General features: G+C 38.3%; 1 protein-coding gene across 10 annotated transcripts in view, besides 1 other annotated feature; it reads right to left on the bottom strand.

Moving 5' to 3' along the window:
- The window catches only part of PTPN12 (protein tyrosine phosphatase non-receptor type 12), a 102775-nt gene that overhangs the window by 65034 nt on the left and 16208 nt on the right, over nucleotides 1-21533 (bottom strand). For 5 of the 10 annotated variants that reach the window (NM_002835.4, XM_006716073.5, NM_001131008.2 and 2 more), the window contains exon 2: nucleotides 3850-3958. In NM_002835.4, coding sequence (NP_002826.3) covers nucleotides 3850-3958 — 109 coding nt within the window. Of the gene's footprint in view, nucleotides 1-3849; nucleotides 3959-4514; nucleotides 5109-5241; nucleotides 10259-21533 lie in introns of those variants that run through there. The other 5 variants (XR_007060120.1, XM_047420673.1, XM_047420674.1 and 2 more) reach the window with 3 other exon arrangements.
- Nucleotides 18226-18840: an enhancer, noted in NCBI's record as "OCT4-NANOG hESC enhancer chr7:77185513-77186127 (GRCh37/hg19 assembly coordinates)". NCBI's record gives its function as "activates a minimal SCP1, AML or CMV promoter by ChIP-STARR-seq in primed H9 embryonic stem cells {active_cell/tissue: H9 hESC(primed)}" and the evidence as "EXISTENCE:reporter gene assay evidence [ECO:0000049][PMID:30033119]".

Below are 21533 nucleotides of genomic sequence, written 5' to 3'. Positions count from 1 at the left end.
ATGGTGAAACCCTGTCTCTACTAAAAATACCAAAAAATTAGCTGGGCATGGTGGCAGGTGCTTGTAATCCCAGCTACTTGGGAGGCTGAGGCACGAGAATTGCTTAAACCCGGGAGATAGAGGTTGCAGTGAGCCGAGATCCCACACTGCACTCCAGCCAGGGCGACAAGAGTGAGATTCTGTCTCAAAAAAAAGAAAAAAAAATCCCAAGTCAAAATAACTAGAAATTTACTGGAGACCTACTTATCAAACTTTAAATAACTTAAAGGAAAAAAGGCACTGTCAATCTGATTACTGCACAGTAATTAAGAACTCAAGCTCTTGGACAAGGTCTCTCAACGCTGACACTCATATATTTTGGCGAGAAGTCTTTGTTTGGGGAAGGGGGCTGCATCCTATGCACTGCAGGATGTGTAGCAGTATTCCTAGCCTCTACTTGTTAGATGCCATTAGCAGCCTGTCCACTCCCATACCCCAGTTGTGACAACCAAATCTCTCCAGACATTGCTAAGTGTCCCTTGAGAGGCAAAATCACCCTAGTGAAGGCTTTAAAACCGCCTGTGTTTAAATTCTTACCCCACAATATTTAACTGTGTGACAAGCTTTTTAACCTCTCTGTCTCAGTTTCCTGTTTGCAAAATGGCACATAACAGTACTTACCTCAGAGTTTTGCTGTGATGATTATGGTAAATAATCCATTTATCACAGAAATCAGCAAACAATACAAATCAGAACTTTCAGAGGACCAGTTTAACACTACACCACTAACCTTTCCCACTACCCCAGCCAAAACTGTAAACTTACCCTTCTATTCTCTGCTTTCTCCCTATCCCTCATTCGAACCACACTCTCAATAACACTAATTACCACCACATGACAGACCATATATGTTAATATGTATCGTCCATCACCTTGACTAACATATAAGCTCCACAAGGGCAGGGATTTTTGCCAGTTTGTTTTTTGTTGCATTCCCAGCATACAGTACACCCTCAGAAGCTTTCTGTAAAATGAGTAAATGCCAAGGGAGGCGGATGACCTGACGTTAGGAGTTCGAGAGCAGCCTGGCCAACATGGTGAAACCACGTCTCTACTAACAATACAAAAATTAGCCGGATGTGGCAGCGGGTGCCTGTAATCCCAGCTACTTGGGAGGCTGAGGCAGGAAAATAGCTTGAAGCTGGTAGGCAGAGGTTATAGTGTGCGGAGATCGCACCACTGCACTCCAGCCTGGGCAACAGAGCAAGACACCGTTTCAAAAACAAAGAAGAAAATGAAACATCATATGAAAAGAGAAACCTACGGCTAGACGACAGAAAAAGAAAGTGGACAGGCTAACTCTTTGAATGTGTGCATGAATAATTCCAGAGCAATGTAGGATCACCTTAAAATTATCTTGCTTAATACGAAGTATCCAGAAAGCCATGTCATCCCCTATTCTGAGGCAGACTGGTGCTATGGTCTGAATATTTGTGTCCTTCCCAAATTCATAAGTTAAAACATAAATTCCAATGCAACAGTATTAAGTGGTAGGGCCTTTAGGAGATGATTAGATTATGCCTTGTGAATGGGATTACCAGCTTTTACTAAAGAGGCCCGAGAGAGCTTGTTTGCCCCTTCCACCATGTGAAGTGCAGTGAGAAGGCACCATCTATGAGCCAGAGTGACCCTTCACTAGACAGCATATCTGCTGGTGCCTTCATCTTGGACTTCCCAGTCTCTAGAATTTGAAGATACAAATGTCTGTTATTAATAAGCAACCCTGTTTATGGTATTTCTGTAATAGCCTGAACAGACTAAGACAACAGGTGAGAAAAGTGGAGTGTATTTTGCAAAAGCTTAATGATTGGTTACTATGTGCTAGGTATACTGGTTATTTTGCAAAAGCTTAATGATTGGTTACTATGTGCTAGGTACACTGGTTTTTTTTGTTTTTTTGTTTTTTTTTTTTTTGAGATAGAGTCTTACTCTGTCGCCCAGGCTGGAATGCAATGGCGCAATCTCGGCTCATGGCAACCTCCACCTCCTGGGTTCAGGCAATTCTCCTGCCTCAGCCTCCTGAGTAGCTGGAATTACAGGCACGTGCCACCACATCTGGCTAATTTTTGTATTTTTGATAGAGATGGGGTTTCACCATGTTGGTCAGGCTGGTCGCGAACTCCTGACCTCGTGATCCACCAGTCTCGGCCTCCCAAAGTGCTGGGATTATAGGCGTGAGCCACCGCGCCTGGCCACTGGGTACACTTTTAAGCATTTAATATTAACCTATTGTGCAAATAATCCTAAAAAGTATTATTATAATCTCCATTTTAAGGATGACAAAACCAAGGCACAGAGAGGATCAGTCCAAGGTCATATAGCTAGCAACTGGTGGAGTCAGGATTTCAACTTCCAGAATCAGAACACTATACCATTATGTTATGTTGCCACTTGTTAATTCTGCCAACACAGGCTATCCACATATCCCACAGCTGATAATAATGTAGAACAACAAAAGGATGAAGGATTAAATTGAGGCAAAGAAGTTAGTGGAGAAAAGAGGGAAAGAGATGAGAGGGAAGAGGTGTTTTAAAAGAGTTATCATGGAAGAAGAAAATTTCAAAAATAGGGATTGATCAATGGCATCAAAATAGTTCAACATTCTTGAATAATCAATATTCTTCCTGTTAGAATAAACAGTAAAAAAAGACCACCAAATCTGGCAATTAAAAAGCCACTGGGCCCTGGGCAACATGGTGAAACCCTGTCTCTACTAAAATACAAAAAATTAGCTGGGTATGGTGGCAGGCACCTGTATTAGAGCTGTCCCAGCTCTCAGGAGGCTAAGGTACAAGAGTCGCTTGAACCTGGGAGGCAGAGGTTGCAGTGAGCCAAGATCCCACCACCGCACTCCAGCCTGGGCTACAGAGCAAGACTGTCACAAAAAAAAAAAAAAAAGTCACCAAGAACTTTAAAGGCATTTTAGAGAGAACAACCTTTAAGACTGAATAAGAATTGAGGAAATGATGTGATGGAATGTAGATATTTCAAAATACTTATGAAGAAAGAAAAACGACGGCAGCTTTAAAAGATAGCAAGTATGACGTATAGCTTTTACTGGATAAAGTGATGGCACACCTTAAGTATACTTTCAGAGTTAAAGTTATCTTGCCAGAAAACTGTGCTATTTAAGAATACAGACAGGGCGCAGTGGCTCACACCTGTAATCACAACACTTGGGGAGGCTGAGGTGGGAGGATCGTATGAGCTCAGGAGTTTGAGACCAGCCTGGGGAACACAGTGAGAACCCCCACCTCTAAACAAACAAACAAACAAATAAATAAATAAATAAATAAATAAAATATCATTAGAATGTAATGCAATCAGTCTAAGACATATACTTAGAGGCACATATTCAGACTGCTGAGAATAGTAGACACACAGATGTTTGAGTCATCCTATGCTTCATTTTCTCATGCATAATTAATCAATTAAGGTTCTTATGTATAGATATATGAAAAATCAACATTGTTAGCATTTTATAAAATGTATTCAGTTGTCTATTATTTTAATGAAATAACATCTTTGAACAGAGAGTTGACAGAAGATATTTTCACTTGGATTTACAGTATTTAAAAGTAATTTAGTATTAGAGCAACTGTGATACTTACAGGAAAAAAATTAAACAAAAATTAGGATCAGAAGGAAAAACAAAAAGCACAATTATGAATTATTATCTTTCCATGTACTTTGAAAGATAGGTTAATTACTACTTCCTTAACAGTGAAACTCAGGAAGAATAAAACTAGTTAGGTTACAAAAGGCTAATTAGCATTTCTATGTATTTTATCAAGGGCATTTCCAACTTACATGGCAGTATGTCCTTGTATCTGTTCTTTTTAACATTTTCTTCTTTTTCTCCAGTGGCTGTGGGATATATCTTTTCTGTTCTATATTTGGTAGACAATCTTCTTAACCGCTTAAAATACAACAAATAAAAATTAAAGTTTAGAGAAACAGTGATATTTTCAAATTTTTAATGAAATCTGGTGACCCCAATTCCTCACAACTCATTTTCCTGTCTCTTAGCTCTTAATTTCCCCATCCCTTAATAATTAACCCCAAGGATAATTTCTTTTATAGCATAAGTGCAAACATAAGATTCATATTTATTTCACATGAGCAGCAAAGAGGGAAAACAGAATAAAAGTAATATAATTTAAAGATATCATTAATAAGCTGAGTCAGAATATTTAACTCAGTCTTTAACATATTCGAGTAATTTCAGTGTTTTAACTAAGGGTCACAATAACCAAGTTTTAAAAACATGCCTAAAAGAATTTTCTTCTCTCAATAAACCATGAGCACGCACCCATGATGTGCCAGGCTTTCTCCCAAGGCATAAGCTAATAATTACTTACAAGACACTGCAAAACAAAGTTCTTTCATATTGAATTGGAAATGTCCAACAAAGACCAATTCTGCTTATTCACTGCATTACAGAACTAGTTTGTGGGTTAGTGACAAATTCTTACCACATATGGCAGTAGGGATGTTCTTTGGGCTGGAATATTTCTGCGTGTCAGTAATACACTTCCTGCTTTCAGAAGCACTGAAAGTCAGTATTGTGAATTGTTCAAATTCTACACAACTACATTGCTGAAATTTAATTTCAAAGGAACTTTCTTTCAGGCCTCAAGACATATTAAAAGCATTCTGGTTTTACCATTCAACAAATTATTAAATACAAATAAAATGAAAAATAAATCTGATAAAATTTAACTTTCTCATTAATTTTTGCTACTTGTGATACTGATATTTAAGGAACTAAAACTGCCTATAAACCTTTCTTTTTCTTTGAAAAACGACTAAATTTTATCATCACAATACTAGAGACCTACAACAGGAATACATTTTTTTCTTTATGATAAAGATTTACTAGAATCTTATTCTGCACTGGCACAATGTCAAAGTAAAATTCCCCACATTTATGATGCTATTTCTTGTGATTTCCTGTGGTAATAGAGTTCTCCAAATATATACATGTGTCAGAGGAAAAACTGTATTCAAAAGCAAGTGGGGGCCGAGCATGGTGGCTCACACTTGTAATCCTAGCACTTTGGGAGGACTGCTTGAAGCCAGGAGTTCAAGACCAGCCTGCTTAACAATGCAAGACCCTGTCTCTGAATTGTACTTCTACAACTTTGTCCTCCAGATAAAAATGGGACACACATGAAATGATTTATATTCAAAGTTACATACCACAGCACTTTGTTTGTTTGTTTTGAGACAGGATCTCACTCTGTTGCCCAGGCTGGAGTGCAGTGGTGCGATCTCGGCCCACTGCAACCTCGGCTTCCCAGGTTCAAGCAATTCTTGTGCCTCAGCCTCCTGAGTAGCTGGAATTACAGATGCGTGCCACCAGGTCCAGCTAATTTTCATATTTTTAGTAGAGACAGCGTTTCACTATGTTATCCAGGCTGGTCTTGAACTCCTGACCTTAGGTGATCCACCCGCCTCAGCCTTCCAAAGTGCTGAGATTACAGGTGTGAGCCACGCGCCCAACCACTGCAGCATTGTTAGTAACAGCAAAAAACTACAATCAAAGAAACCTCTTAATACAAAACTGGCTAAATTTGTTTTATTCATACCATCAAATATGAGAGAGCTGAAAAACAAATGAGTTAGCTTTTTATATATAGTAAGATGACAGTATCTGAAAAATACATATTAAGTATAAATGTAAAAAGCAGGAAACAATAGTGTACATTATATACACAGTGCAGTATGTATATATGTAATATATTACTACTGGTGTTAAAAAGAAATAAAAACATTTGCATTTGCTTGTACATATGCATATATCATCTCTGGAAGAAAAACTATTAACAAAGTATGTGTCTGTGGGGAAGGGAAATGGGTACCTAAGGGAAACGGATGAGAATGAGACATTACTATTATGTCTTTTCATATCTTTTGGATTGTATGACTGTATTGCCTGTTCAAAAAATTGAACGTAAATAAAAAAGGACAGTAGAAAAGATTGTTTATGATGTCGTTACTCCATATTAACAAAGATCCTCATGGTTACTTATATACGCATCTTGCACATTTAATTAGAATGTTTGTATTTTCTCTGCTCAAAGATTAAGCATCTGAAAAGATGTATTTTTAGATACTTATAGTATCAGTGCATTTCAAAATATTATTTTGAATCTGACTTAGAGAAGGATATCAACTTAAATAGTTGCAGAAACACAGAGGGGAAAGGAATATATCTTAGGTCAATGTCAGCGAGAAAAAATTTAGTACAAAGAGTGGTTGAGTTTAATTATAAAATGTGAATGTACCTCAGGAATGCCTGGTACAATCACTCTAAGCTTTTTCTTTTTCATTCATTCATTCACTCATTCACAGACGGAGTCTCACTCTGTTGTCTAAACTGGAATGCAGTGGCATGATCATGGCTCACCATAGCTTCAAACTCCCATGTTCAAATGATCCTCCTGCCTCAGCCTCCAAAGTGGCTGGAACCACAGGCTCATGTCACCATGCCCAGCTAATTATTATTACTATTTTTTGTAGGGCTGGGGTCTCCCCATGTATGTTGCGGAGGCTGGTCTCGAACTCCTGGGCTCCAGCAATCCTCCTGCCTCAACATTCCAAAGTGCTGGGGAATACAAGTGTAAGCCACCATGCCTGGCCCACTCCAGACTTTTCTTCTTTTACATGACAAATTACATTATTGAGAAATGTGCAAAACAAAGCTTTTATGTGAAATGACTACATTTCTCATAATGAACCTTGAGAACTTTTGCGTCCAAATATTTATCTTATTTAAGTTTGGATTTTCATTTATCCAGTTTTCTTAAAGCCTAGCATGCCATTTCTTAAAATGCTTTCTATAATTAAAGTTTAAAATGGAGAATGCTCTATTAAAATAAAAATCTACAATAGTGTTCTTAGCAATTTTCATGCCCATCAGAGATACAAAAGTGGTCCATAAAACAAGTAAAAACTTTGTTTTGTACTTTAAAAAGGTATCTACAAGTTGGAACTTATTTCCCACCAAAAAATGTCAGCTTTATAGTAAGCTACATAAATTAAAATTCTGGATCTGGTACTTTCTTAGCTGTGTGACAATTAACATATTTAACCTCTCTGTGTCTCATCTATAAAACTGAGATAATAACCTTTACTCAGCAAAAGGTCTAGTACATAAAATGGCTCAATAAATGTTAACTATTATTATTGAACTAATTACTGGAACTCTTTAAATGTTGTTACTTCAGATTTATTTCTTTAAAACCTTTCCTAGATCAAAGATCAGAAAGAGTTGCATATTCCAGGTCAATTTATCTGCCTGAAATTGCAAAGCAGTTTGTCAAATTTGAGTGTGCTTCAGAATCACCTGGAGGGCCACATTGCTGGGCCTCATCCCAGTAGTTTCTGATTCAGTAGGTCTGAGGTGGTAATTGCCTGATAATTTGTCTTTTTAAAAGTTGCTAAGATTCTACTTTAAAAAAAATCCCATGATAATCATTTTTCTGTGTCTTTGTGTATGCTTTTTCTTTGCTTGTTGGTGGTCTCCCCACTTGCACACCTCCAAAGCTTACTTATCTTTTAATTTTAAGCCCTAGCTCCTACAGAGTTTCTGATGCCCTTCCTCCAGACATAATCTTCCCCTCTGAATTGTTTTACCTTTATATGTACTTTTAGAACACTTACATTTCTTACTCTTATGATAAATATATAAAGAGAATACATCTAATTTGCCCTGTTAAACAATAAACTCTGTGGGTACAAAATTACCACCAGATTAAGATCTGATTTGGCCTAGAGCAGGTTTTTTTTTTTTTTTAACACATCAACATTAATGTCTAAATAGTTCCTGAATAGAAGTAGCACCAAAGTTCATTTAAACTCTATGAAACAGAATTATCTACACATATAATTTCATTTTAACTTCCCGACCACTATTCTATTGTCTCTGATGAAGCTATTACTAAGAAAGAAACAAAAAAATTCTGTATTATTGAGAAACATAATATACTAAGAAACCTTATTCATAGACTGTATGAGAATAGCACTAAACATTAATAAAATAATTCATTTATTATATAATTTAATTATTTCATATAATCCTAAAGCAAGAAAGAATTTTTAATCATTTACTGTATTAACTGGGCAAAAATATAGCTAAATGATGTCCGTATTAAGTTATAGGTACCCACCACACCCTTTATCGTGTGACTTTTTAAAAAAAAGCTAAGAAAACAAACAAATCCTTTAAGAAAGCATTTGCAATTAAGTCTACCCTAAAGATCTTTATTGAGACAGGGACTCACTCTGTTGCCCAGGCTGGAATGCAGTGGTGCAATCACAGCTCACTGCAGTCTTAAACTCCTGGGCTCAGGTGATTCTCCCACCTCAGCGTCCCTTAGCGAGTAGCTGGGACTATAGGCACGCACCGCCACGCCTGGCTAATTGTATTTTTTGTAGAGATGGGGTTTCGCCACGTTGTCCAGGCTGGTCTCGAACTCCTGGACTGAAGCCATCTGCCCACCTTAGCCTCCCAAAGTGATGGGATTACAGCCATAAGCCACTGCACCAGCCTACCCCAGAAGTCTTTAAAAAGTCACATAAATGAATTCCAAAAATAACTGCACTCCTTTATTACTGTTCTAAAAAGTCAAGTCTGACCATTTTACTCCCACATTTAAAAACTCTCCTATGTGTCTATCACCTCTAACATAAACTACCAAATCTTTAATTATAAGATATGTTGAATGTTGCCTGTCCAATTTTCTAGCCTCTTTTTATAATGCTCTTATTAGAGTTTGATGCTTTAGTCATATAGAATTACTCACCACCACTATGACTAGCAGTAACCCTCCATTTCTTAAATATCAAAGTTGCACAATTTTTGCTCTTACTGGTGAGTAGGGCTCTGGCTAAAGTGTTATTTCCTTTTTGAAGGCTTTCTTGAACCTTCCCTCCTTTACTGCTCCTCAGCCTTCTGCAATGAGTCCATAACACATTGTTCTATTGCCACTTGTGAAAAGTATTTCTTAAGTATTTCAGTACTTGTCTGTCTCGTCCACTAATCTATAAAACTGAAGGCAGAGATTAGACTATCTTACTGGACTTTATAGACCAATAGCTAATGCAAAGCAAAACTCTCATTACAAATTGAAGAATTATTTACTGAGCCTTCTCAGACAAGTCAGAGAAACATTTTTAATACTTAGAATTTTTGATACAAACAAAATTCGAGTTTAATATTCACTTTGCTTTAAACAATTTCCTAAAACACTAAATTTGTATTCCCCTAATCCTAAATCAATAAATGGATTCTCAAAAGCCTCCAAAATCACATGCAATGTGACTTTAAGATACCCACTTGTGTGTCAAGATTCAAGTTCTTAAAAGAGTGGAACAGTTCATTGTTCATCTAAGCTCCTGAGAATGTTTAAAGTTTGTTAAATCTCTCCAGAGTCAAAGAGCTGTCTATTGGCCTGTCCACTGGATGTGTAATGGGCATCACAAACATGCCCAAATAGCACCACCATTCAACAGCAGTTCAAGCCAAAAACCACCACCATTCAACAGTAGTTCAAGCCAAAAACCTAACACTCATCCTTGATTTGTTCCTTTATCTCGCTCTTCTCCCCATCAGCAAATCTTGTTAGCAAAAATATAGCTAATTGTCTTCATATTCACTGAAGAGACTTTGAAGTGAAAATACATTTAGACAGACAAGCGTTAAATTAATTTGTTGGCTGGATTTTAAATCAGCACAATTAAGAAAACAATAAATTAACACAAAAAGAAACAGCACTAAAATGGAAATTAAGCTAACTGAAATTCCTTTCGGAATAAGATGGGATATATAGAAATTAAGTATCAAAGCTGAAGCTCTCTCATGCTCTGTTATTAGACCACACACCACTGCCTCAAATTCCTCAATGTTATAACACTTAAAACACAGTACGAGTTTCAGCTGGGTGCGGTGGCTCATGCCTCTAATCCCAGCACTTTGGGAGGCCAAGGCTGGTAGATCACGAAGTCAGGAGATCGAGACCATCCTGGCCAACATGGTGAAACCCCATCTCTACTAAAAATACAAAAATTAGCTGGGCATGGTGGCGCATGCCTGTAATCCAAGCTACTCGGAAGGCTGAGGTAGGAGAATCACTTAAACCAGTAAGGCGGAGGTTGCAGTGAGCTGAGATCGTGCCACTGCACTCCAGCCTGGCACAAGGGCGAGATTCCGTCTCAAAAAAAAAAAAAAAAAAAAAAAAAAAAAACACGACAACAAAAAACAACAACAAAACACAGTATGAGTTTCATAAGGCACAACTTTTAGTAAATATGCATATAAGAATATACAAATATTAAAACTATACTTTGTATAGTAAATAAAAATGGAAATTACTTTAAGCTTAAGAGTTATACTGTGGCAAAATATTAAGGCTACCTAACCCATAAAATCATACTCCTTTTACCTAATTGCTCCGGAAAATTTCTGAGGCAATTACTGGAGAATTCATCTGAATTTTAAACGGTAGCAGGTTTGGGACATAGTTCACATTCAATAACCATTGTTAAATAAATAAATTCATCTGGCTTTATATTTGAAAATTTTAACTGTCCTCAGTAAGAAAAACCACACCATCTTAATAGTATTAATTTAACCCTACAAACTGCATGATAACCAAACCAAAATTTCTTAAAACCCCAAATATAAATTAATAGCAGCATACAGTAAAATTAGAGTACCAGCCAAAGTAACACTATACTATCTCAAAGTAACACTGTATTATCACTATTTTATCTCTAACTTTACAAACATACTTACATAAAAATATGTATATGGGCTGGGCACGGTGGCTTGTGCCTGTAATCCCAGCACTTTAGGAGGCCAAGGTGGGCAGATCACTTGAGGTCAGGAGCTCAAGACCAGCCTGGCCAACATGGTGAAACCCAATCTCTACCAAAAAATACAAAAATTAGCCAAGCCTCGTGGTGTGTGCCCGTAGTCCCAGCTACTCAGGAGGCTGAGGTTGCAGTGAGCCGAGATCACACCACTGCACTCCAGCCTGGGCGACAGAGCTCCATCTCAAAAAAAAAGAAAAAATGCACATCACTAACGATAATGGTTATAAGCAGCTAAAATAACCAAAGGGTCTTTCAACTATACAACTGCAATGTCTACCTTTAGTTGCAAAATATGCAACTCTGCCTATCAAAATTCATCTTCCTATCTTTGCTCACTGTTCACCCACTGCTGCCTAACAGACTAATTCTCTCCCTTTTTTTTCAGAAATGCATGGCTATGCCTCCTCATTTGAAGCCAACTCAGGATTGATAATAAAGAAAGTAACTTTGAAGTAAACAGGGCCAGTCTTATGAGTCTTGGAGTAATAAAATGATTCTGTGCTTTGCTCATGTCAAAATGTATGCTTCACTTATTCCCCTAATTGTCTGCCAAGAAACTCCCTGCTTTTTACTAGCCCAATACAGAAATCATCTTCATGAAATTTTTCCTGATAGTAGTACTGGCATACAGGCCCATCATCCACTTCCTCATCTCTATCTACTTTATATACACCTCTTATCTAGAACATATCCCAGTGTACAGTAATTATTTAGATATGCACATATGCCATCCCTGATAGAACACGAATTCCCTGATTTAGACCGTATCTTCTATTAGTAATAGCTACTATCAGCATAATCCCATAACAAATAGTAGGGAGTAAATAAACTGTTAGGTCTTCTATGTAAATCAGAATTGACCAGTATACTTAAGAATATATTGCTTACACTTCATTTCTACTTCACAATAGGGCAGCTTTAAGTCAGAGAAGCTGGGGTTCAATTCCTAGGTTTCATCAATTACTAGCGAAGGAGATCTCTCCAATATAGCTAGATAATCTTCCCTGAATGCATGTAGTAATAGTCCTTGATTTTGAGAATGTTTTTAAATAAAACCTTGTACTACAGACTTCATGTTTTAAAATAATAAATATGGCAAATCATAAACTAAATGAAAAAATGTAATAAAAAAACAAGGCTGTTCTTTTTTTTTTTTTGCATAGCCTAGACAATAAGCAAATGATTTTTTTCTTCTCTCCTGTCCCTTCGTGAGAAAATACAAACTTATAATGCAAGTTTACCCTTTCCCTATCCTGAAAGTATATTTTTATGGAAATAAAAGTAGAATACCACTTGAACTAGGAGGACAATAAAATTTTGTCATATACATTAATTTTATTGAAATGAAGATATCTAATACAATAAATGGAAAGTGTTCCAGGTTTGATTATTTTTGTTTCAACTCACAAGGCCCTCACTTTCTTTTACCCATTTCCTCATCATCCATTATCTAATGTCCCTGTATATATTTAACTTAGCAATCGCTGGTTCCACTGATGTTCCGCCAATCCCAATTTCAAATACTTTGTCCCTATAGTAAATCACCCTAAAATTCCAAAATCTAGATATTAAAACTATGGCTCCCGACTATGTCTTCCTTCATCTGGTTATGCATCCTGATTCTGATTTAAGAAAACACAATCATTATAGTCCCACTTAGTCTTCATAGGGGCACACTCTGCCAAACCCAGACTCCCAAAGTATTACAAAGCAATCCATCACTAATCTCATTATCTCATAGTATATAATAAAAACATACAGCAGGCCGGAAGCAGTGGCTCACTCCTGTAATCCCAGCACTTTGGGGCCGAGGTGGGTGGATCACCTGAGGTTGGGAGTTTGAGACCAGCTTGGCCAAGGTGGTGAAACCCCATCTCTACTAAAAAATACAAAAATTAGCTGGGCGTGGTGGCATGCGCCTGTAATGCCAGCTACTCGGGAGGCTGGGGCAGGAGAATCGCTTGAACCCAGGAGGCAGAGGTTGCAGTGAGCCGAGACTGCACCACTGCACTCCAGCCTGGGCAACAGAGTGAGACTCTGTCTCAAAAAATAAATAAATACACTTTGGTAGGCCGAGGCGGGCAGATCATGAGGTCAGGAGACCGAGACCATCCTGGCTAACACGGTGAAACCCCGTCTCTACTAAAAATACAAAAATTAGTTGGGCGTGGTGATGGGCACTTGTAGTCCCAGCTACTTGGGAGGCTGAGGCAGGAGAATGGCATGAACCCAGGAGGCGGAGCTTGCAGTGAGCCGAGATCGTGCCACTGCATTCCAGCCTGGGCGACAGAGCAAGACTCTGTCTCAAAAATAAATAAATAAATAAATAAAATTAATTAATTAATTAATTAATTAAAAACATACAGTAAAATTGAGAATATTAAGTTCTAGTATTAACATATTAAGCCACAATTACATCAATTCTCTTTACCTCCGATTACAAATATAAAACAAAGACTCCCAAATTAGTAGCAGAGATTCAGAATTCACACTTCTCTCTGCAAAAACAAATATAGCACAGGAAGAGTCACTTGTGTAGTTTAAGAGACCTCAATACTTATTGACCGCTATATGGAAAAAAGTTATTTTTGCAAGGCCGGAGACTGCCACAGTGCTGTGGTCAGCTGACCAAACTTTCTAAAGAGAAACTACACTTCCTGGTGAACCACTAACTCCTACACCCTCTGAAAATTTCATTTTTCCCTTTATTACCCTACTAAAATTACTTTTAGCAAGTCACCAATAATCTCCAACAGGCATCAAAATCTTAATAGCTTCAATTCCTATGAAGTATTTCATATAGATGATTCAACAGACACAATTTTACATCCCTGTATGACTTAGCAATCCACTCGAACCATTGTGATGGCTACTATCAAAAAACCAAAATAGGCTGGGCACAGTGGCTCATAACTATAACCCAAGCACTTTGGGAGGCCAAGGCAGGAGGATCGCTTGTGCCACTTGAGGAGTTCAAGACCAGTCTGGGCAACACAGCAAAACCTCAACTCTATAAAAAACAAAAAACAAAAAACAAAACAAAACAAGCCAGAATAACAGGTATTGGCAAGGATATGGAGAAACTGGAACCCTTGTGCTCTGTTGTGAAATGTAAAATGATACAGTTACTATAGGAAACAGTACGGTGGTTCCTCAAAAAGTAAAAGTAGAATTATCATATCATTCAGCAATTCCATTTTTGGGTATATACCCCAAAGAACGGAAAGCAGGGTCTCGAACAGATATTTGTACAACCATGTTCACAGCAGGAGCATTCACAATAGCCAAAAGGTGGAAGCAACCTAAGTGTCATGCTATGGGCAAATAGATAAACAAAATGTAGTATATACATACAATGCAGTATTTTTCAACCCTTTAAAAAGGAAGATTTTGACACATACTACAACATGGATGAACCCTGAGGACATTATGCTAACTGAAATACACCAGTCACAAAAAGACAATATTTTATAATCCTAATTATATGAGGCACCTAGAATTGTCAAATCCATACAGACAGAAAGTGTAATAGAATGGTGCTACAGGTTGGAGGAAGGAGGAGAATGAGTTTGGAATAAAGAGGGTGGTTTAATGGGAACAGAGTTTTAGCTTTCTAAGATGAGAAGAGTTCTAGAGATTGGTTATACAACAATGTGAATGTACTTAACGCTATTGAACTGTACATTTAAAAATGGCTTAGATGATAGGTTTTCATGTTACATGTATTTTACCACAATTAAAAAAAATTTTTTAAGGGAAAGAAACCCTTAGTAGTTGTTTGTACAGAATTAAATGTCCTATCCAGTATCAAAAAGAACAGCTAGTTGCAGGCAAGCGCCATTAAAGTGTCTCAGATTACCAGGTCACATAATATTCATACAACATTAGAAAGTTCTGACCTATTCATGAATTAACTGTTATGATATTCCCAAAAAATATTTTTAAGTTTGCTGACATACTGGATTCAGAGATTTATAATAAAAAGAACTTCCTCTTCAAACTCAATTATCACTTTTATGACGACGACTGGCTTCACATTAACTCCACCTAACCTATCCTATGCCCAGGGACTGTTTTAGGTGCTAGTGATAAGAGATGAACAGGACAAAATCCCTGCTCTAATGAGGCATATATTCCAAAAACATGTCCTAGTCATATAGTACTTGTCATTCTTGCCTTTAATATCCATCATGTTTACACATTTTATCCCATCACTACCAATGCCGCCATCACCCAAGATTATAATTCACTGCCTCACAGATAATAACCTATTTCTTTTTCTTCCCCCACAGAGCCTAGTGTCTTCCAAATACACATTCAACAAAGCAGGGCAAGTCTGCTAGACGTAATAGACATTGATAACCCATTCGGAACATCACATAGTCAGTGAATTGGCACCCTATTTTCACATTTAGTTCAGTAAGTTTATGTAATATGATTTATAAAACTAGAGAGCAAAACTTAAAATGCTATTTGAAATTTAACATCTGTGGTTTAGCATCCTATTGACATATGAAGGTAATAAAAACTGGAAGTGTAATTTAAAATAATTTACCTAAAGTAGTATCTCCTTGTCCTAAATAACATACCTAAAGACACTCACTTTTTGATTCACTTCTTTATTATATCACCTACAATGTTACCAAGGAAAGCTTTCACTGTTTTACCATCAAGGGAAAATGTGCACAATAAAGGGGTTAGATAATACACACATGTAAAAAACTCAGCATATCAACTGATCCAACATATCACTGAATATAACCATACTCAGAGCTATAATTTATCACAGCTAAAAGATACAAAGTAAAAGCAGCAAAGAAAAAGGCACAAGAGGCAAAGTCCAGAAGAAACTAGGCACAAGCTTTCAAAAATCCTCTTCTAATGAAATTACACACGATCCTCTAATTCCTGCAGAAATAAGTTGTGACAACATGTGTGAAACGTTGTCCACAAGGGAAGCGCATTAGAAATAAAGTGCCCAAGGCTTTTATTGGAGGCTGGTTACACAGGCACTCTGCCTAAGAATATACCAAAATTCCAGACTCCCAGAAAAAAAGTAGATGTTCAACATAAACCATATTATTTTTTATTTTTGTTTTTCAGAGAGAGAGTCTTGTTCTGCTACCCATGCTGGAGTGCAGTGGCATGATTAAGGCTCACTGCAACTTTGAACTACTGGACTCAAGTTATCTGCCTGCCTCAGCTTCCCAAAGTAGCTAAGACTACACAGGTGCACACCATGACATCTGGCTAATTTTTAAAAATGTTTTGTAGAGATGAGGTCTTACTATGTGGCCCAAGCTGGCCTCAAGGAATCCTCCTGCCTCGGCCTCCCAAAGCACTGAGATTACACAATTGAGCCACTGGGCCCAGCTCATAAACCACATTGTTTGTACAGTTTGGGCACAGTGAACCACTCTTATCAGGGGATAATGGAAATTCTCCCAAAAGTCTAAGTTCCCAGACACCAGCCAAGGGATAACATTGTAAGCAGGCCTTTCTAAGGATAGTAGTCTTAGGCCTGCTATGTTACTCTTTTCTGCATACAGGTATAAAATGAAAAAGCCAAACTCTCTCCCCTCCACATCTGTTTCCTTTTAGGTAACCAGTTATGCAAAGTCTCCTTACTAATAGCTATTTTAGGTTGTTTCACAAAAATTGTTGCATACTTGGACATACTATTTTATGCACATATGCAAGTATTTTTACGGAAAGATCCCTAAAGTTGACATGCTGGATCAAAGAGTATGTACATTTATCAATTCTATTAGAAGTGGCCAAACTGCCTTCCAAAACAGGCTTCACCAGTTTACCCTCCCCTTAATGGACCTAGAAACACTAGTTTTCTATATCCTTACCATTTTCTTTTTCTTTCTTTTTTCTTTTTCTTTTTTTTTTTTTTTTTGAGATGGAGTCTTGCTCTATTGCCCAGGCTGGAGTGCAGTGGCGTGATCTTGGCTGACTGCAACCTCCACCTCATGGGTTCAAGCGATTCTCCTGCCTCAGCCTCCCGAATAGCTGGGATTACACGCGCCCACCACCAGGCCCAGCTAATTTTTCTATTTTTAGTAGAGATGGGGTTTCGCCATGTTGGCCAGGCTGGTCTCGAACTTCTGAGCTCACGTGATCTGCCCGCCTCAGCCTCCCAAAGTGCTAGAATTACAGGTGTGAGCCACCACGCCCGGCCGCTATTCTCAATTTCTGAATTATTACGAATTTTTGAGTTTTTATCAAATTTGGTAGCTACTCCCCCAACAGTTAATGATGATTAACTTCAATTTTTCTGATTATTGGAGAGGTTGATTATTTTTTTCCTGTGTTCAGCACTTATTTGCATTTGTCTTCTGGTAATTATCATACCATACGCCCATGTTTCTACTGAAATGTTCTTTTAATTGATATATAGAAGCTCATCTTAAAAATCCTTTCTATAAAGCCTTGTATGACCCTTCTAACAGTATGTGACTTTTTCCTTTTAAGAGTCCTAATTGCACAGTGTGAATGTATCTAATGCCACAGAACTGTACACTTAAATGATAAATGTTTTGTATTAATACATTTTATCACAATAAAAAAATGCAAAAAAAAATCTGTCACTCAATCTTAAGAGCAAGTAAAAAGCTAAACAAACTGAAAAATCAACAACTTTTCTTAGATCTGTAAGAGAAGTTAAGTCACAGGTCAAACAGCTGCCCCCAAACTGGAGAGACAGAAGGTGAATACGGAGAATCACGAGTAATCAGAGCAGAAACACTCACACAGCAAACTTCCATAAGAAACCTGAACTGTAATTGATGAACTGCTAGAGGCTCAGTGTGAACAACTATGAGGGTTAAAATCTCCAGGGGAGGCTGGATGCAGTGGCTCATACTTGTAATCCAAGTACTCTGGGAGGTGGAAGCGGGAGGACCTCTTGAGCCCAGGGGTTCGAGACCAGCCTAGGCAAACACAGTGAGACCCCACCTCTACAAAAAATTTAAAAATAGATAAGTGTGGTTGCATACATCTGTAGTCCCAGCTACTAGGGAGGCTGAGGTGGGAGGATCACATGAGGCCACGAGGTTGAGGCTGCAGTGTGCCAAGGCTGTGCCGTTGCACTCCAGCCTGGACAACAGCGAGACCGCTCTAAAAAAAAAACAAACAAAAACAAACAAACAAACAAAAACTCCTGGTGTACCCAATCCAAAGGGGACCCCACATTTTTGTTTTACCTCCAGGAGCTCTACCAGGTTCTCATAGTAAGTATTAGAGAAAATCCCTTTTTTTGTATTTTTATTTTTTATTTTTGAGATGGAGTCTTGCTCTGTCACCAGGCTGGAGTGCAGTGGTGCGGTCTCGGATCACTGCAACCTCCACCTCCCGGGTTCAAGTGATTCTCCTGCCTCAGCCTCCCGAGTAGCTGGGACTACAGGAACACTCAGCTAATTTTTATTAGAGACGGGGTTTCACCATGTTGGCCAGGATGGTCTCTATCTCTTGACCTTGTGATCCACCAGCCTCAGCCTCCCAAAGTGCTGGGATTACAGGTGTGAGCCACTGTGCCTGGCCGAATATTCCATTCTTCTTAACAAGGTCTGCCCTGCGGAGAAATGATTTAACCTGAGCCTAACCTGCTGGGGTTTTAACAGAGCCTTATTTACATGAGGTAAGGGAAATACCCAACTACAGGTCATTCAAGCCATCCTGGGGGTGAGGCGCTGAGAAACAGGATATAGTTCAAAATCCATAAACAAGCTCACTAAAAGACTGAGACCTTGGCTCTGGGTGGCTCATGCCTGTAATCCCAGCACTTTGGGAGGCAGAGGTAGGCAGGTCTCTTCAGCCCAGGAGTTCGAGACCAGCCTGGGCAACATGACGAAACCCCTTCTCTACAAAAAAATATGAAAACTTAGCCAGGCATGTTCACACATGCCTGTGATCCCAGCTACTGGGGAGGCTGAGGTGGGAGGATTGCTTGAGCCCAGGAGGCGGAGGTTGCAGTTAGCTATGATTGTATCACTGCACTCCAGCCTGGGAGACAAAGCAAAACCCTGTTTCACACAAACAAACAAACAAACAAACAAACACCCTATGATTAATATCCTAAGAACTCTAACAGATAAAGTAGACAGTATGCCAGAATAGATGGGCAATCAATATAAGCAAAGAGACAGAAATTCAAAGAAATAACCAAAAAGAAACACTAGAGATTTTTTTTTTTTGAGACGGAGTCTCGCCCTGTCGCCCAGGCTGGAGTGCAATGGTGTGATCTCGGCTCACTGCAAGCTCCGCCTCCTGGGTTCACGACATTCTCCTGCCTCAGCCTCCCCAGTAGCTGGGACTACAGGCGCCCACCACCACGCCCAGCTAATTTTTTTGTATTTTTAGTAGAGATGGGGTTTCACCGTGTTAGCCAGGATGGTCTCGATCTCATGACCTCACGATCCACCCACCTCTGCCTCCCAAAGTCCTGGGATTACAGGCGTGAGCCACCGTGCCCGGCCTAAGAAACGCTAGAGATTTTTTTAAAAAACTGTAACAAAAATGAAGAATGTTGTTGGTGGGCTTACTAGTAGACTAGACATGGCTGAGGAAAGAATCTCTCAACTTGAGGATATCTCAATAAAAGCTTCCAAAACTGAAAAGAGATTAAAAAGACTAGAAAAAAACTGAAACAACAGAATGGAATATGCAAAAACTGTGGGGACAACTACAAGAGATGTAAATATGCATAAGGGTAATAACAGAAAGAGAAGAAGGGAACAGAAGAAATATTTGAAATAATGATTGAAAATTTCCCCAAATTAATGTCAGAAACCAAACCACAGATCCAAGCAGCTCAGAGAACACTGATCAGAATAAATGCCAGAAATAACTTATGTAGGCATATCACTTTCAAACTACAAAAAAAAAAAAAAGATAAACAAATCGTTTAAAAAGCCAGAGGAAAAAAAATCATCTTACCTAAAGAGGAGCAAGTATAATAAGAATTACATCTGACTCTGTTTCAGAAACTAGGCAAGCAAGAAGAGAGTGACAAAATATCATATTGAGAAGAAAAAACCCACCAACTTAGAATCCTGAACCTTGCAAAATTATCCTTCAAAAACCAAAGAGAAATAAAAACTTTCTCAACAAACAAAAATTAAGGCTGGGCAAGGTGGTTCATGCCTGTAGTCCTAATGCTTTGGGAGGCTGAGGTGGGTGGATGGTTTGAGCCCAGGAGTTCAAGACCAACCTGGGCAACACAGTGAGACCTCGTTTCTACAAAAACAGAAACAAAAAAAAACTTAAGTGAGTATGGCGGTGCATGCCTGTAGTCTCTGCTACTCCGGAGGCTAGGGCAAAAGGACTGGTTGAGCCCAGCAGGTCAAGGCTGCAGTGTGCCATGATCATGCCACCGCATTATAGCCTGGATGACAGACAGAGCAAGACCCTGTCCCCCAGAAAAGATTAAGAGAATCTGTTGCCACAGACCTACCTTGTGAGAAATGTTAAAATAAATTTTTTAGAGAGAAGACAAATTATTCTAGTCTGGAATTCACATCTACATAAAGAAAGGAAGAAGAAATGAGAGAAAGAATAAATGAAAGTAAAATTAAAACTTTTATTTTTCTTATTAATTGATCTGATACGTTTATTCAGAATAGCAGCAAACATGTATTTGGTTATATATGCTTGTGTGTGTATGTTTATTTGTAAGTGAGATAATGCCAGCAATGATACAAGGGATAGAATTAGGGTTACTTTGTCATTATAAAGTAATCTCACCATCCATAAAGTGGTACAGTGTTACCTGAAAATGGACTTGGATTTGCTGGAAATATACATTGCAAATGCCAGAGCAACCACTTAAAAAAGTGAAAACACCCAGCTGGGCACAGTGGCTCATGCCTATAATCCCAATACTTTGGGAAGCCAAGGCAGGAGGATTGCTTGAGGCCAGGAGTTTGACAGCCTGGGCAACATGGTAAGACCTTCTCTCTACAAAAAATAAAAAACATTACTTGAGGGTTGGTGGCACACACTTGTAGTCCTAGCTACTCAGGAGGCTGAGGCAGGAGGATCACGTGAGCCCAGAAGTTTGAGGTTACAGTGAGCTATGACATGCCACTGCATTCCAGCCTAAGCAACTAAGCGACACCTTGTCTCTTTAGAAAAGACCAAAAACAAAAAAAGTAAAAAAAAAAAGAAGTAAAACTGACATGCTAAGAAAGGACAGTCATATGATATTTTGAATTAAAACTGCAAAAGGCAGAAAAACAGTGGAAGACAAAAAAAAAAATAGGAACAAAGAACAATGACAACAGAAAATAGTGGCAAATATGGTAGACATTAATCCAATGCTATCAGTAATCACTCTGAACGTGAATGGTCTAAATGTACCAATTAAAAGATTGTCAGAGTGGATTAAAAACCAAGACCTAACTATATGCTGTCTACAAGAGATCCACTTTAAATATACAAACACACACAGATTAAAAGCAAATGGATGGAAAAAAATATATCAGCTAACACAAAAATAAAATGAGACTAGTTATTAATTTCAGATAAAGCAGATTTCATGGCAAGTAAAGTTATCAGGGATAGGGTGGCTTTACATCATGATAAAGGGGTCAGTTCTCCAAGAAGAC

The sequence above is a fragment of the Homo sapiens genome, chromosome 7 (assembly GCF_000001405.40).
Source record: "Homo sapiens chromosome 7, GRCh38.p14 Primary Assembly".
NCBI classification, from domain to species: domain Eukaryota; kingdom Metazoa; phylum Chordata; class Mammalia; order Primates; family Hominidae; genus Homo; species Homo sapiens.
This window is presented reverse-complemented; position numbering and strand designations above follow the sequence as displayed.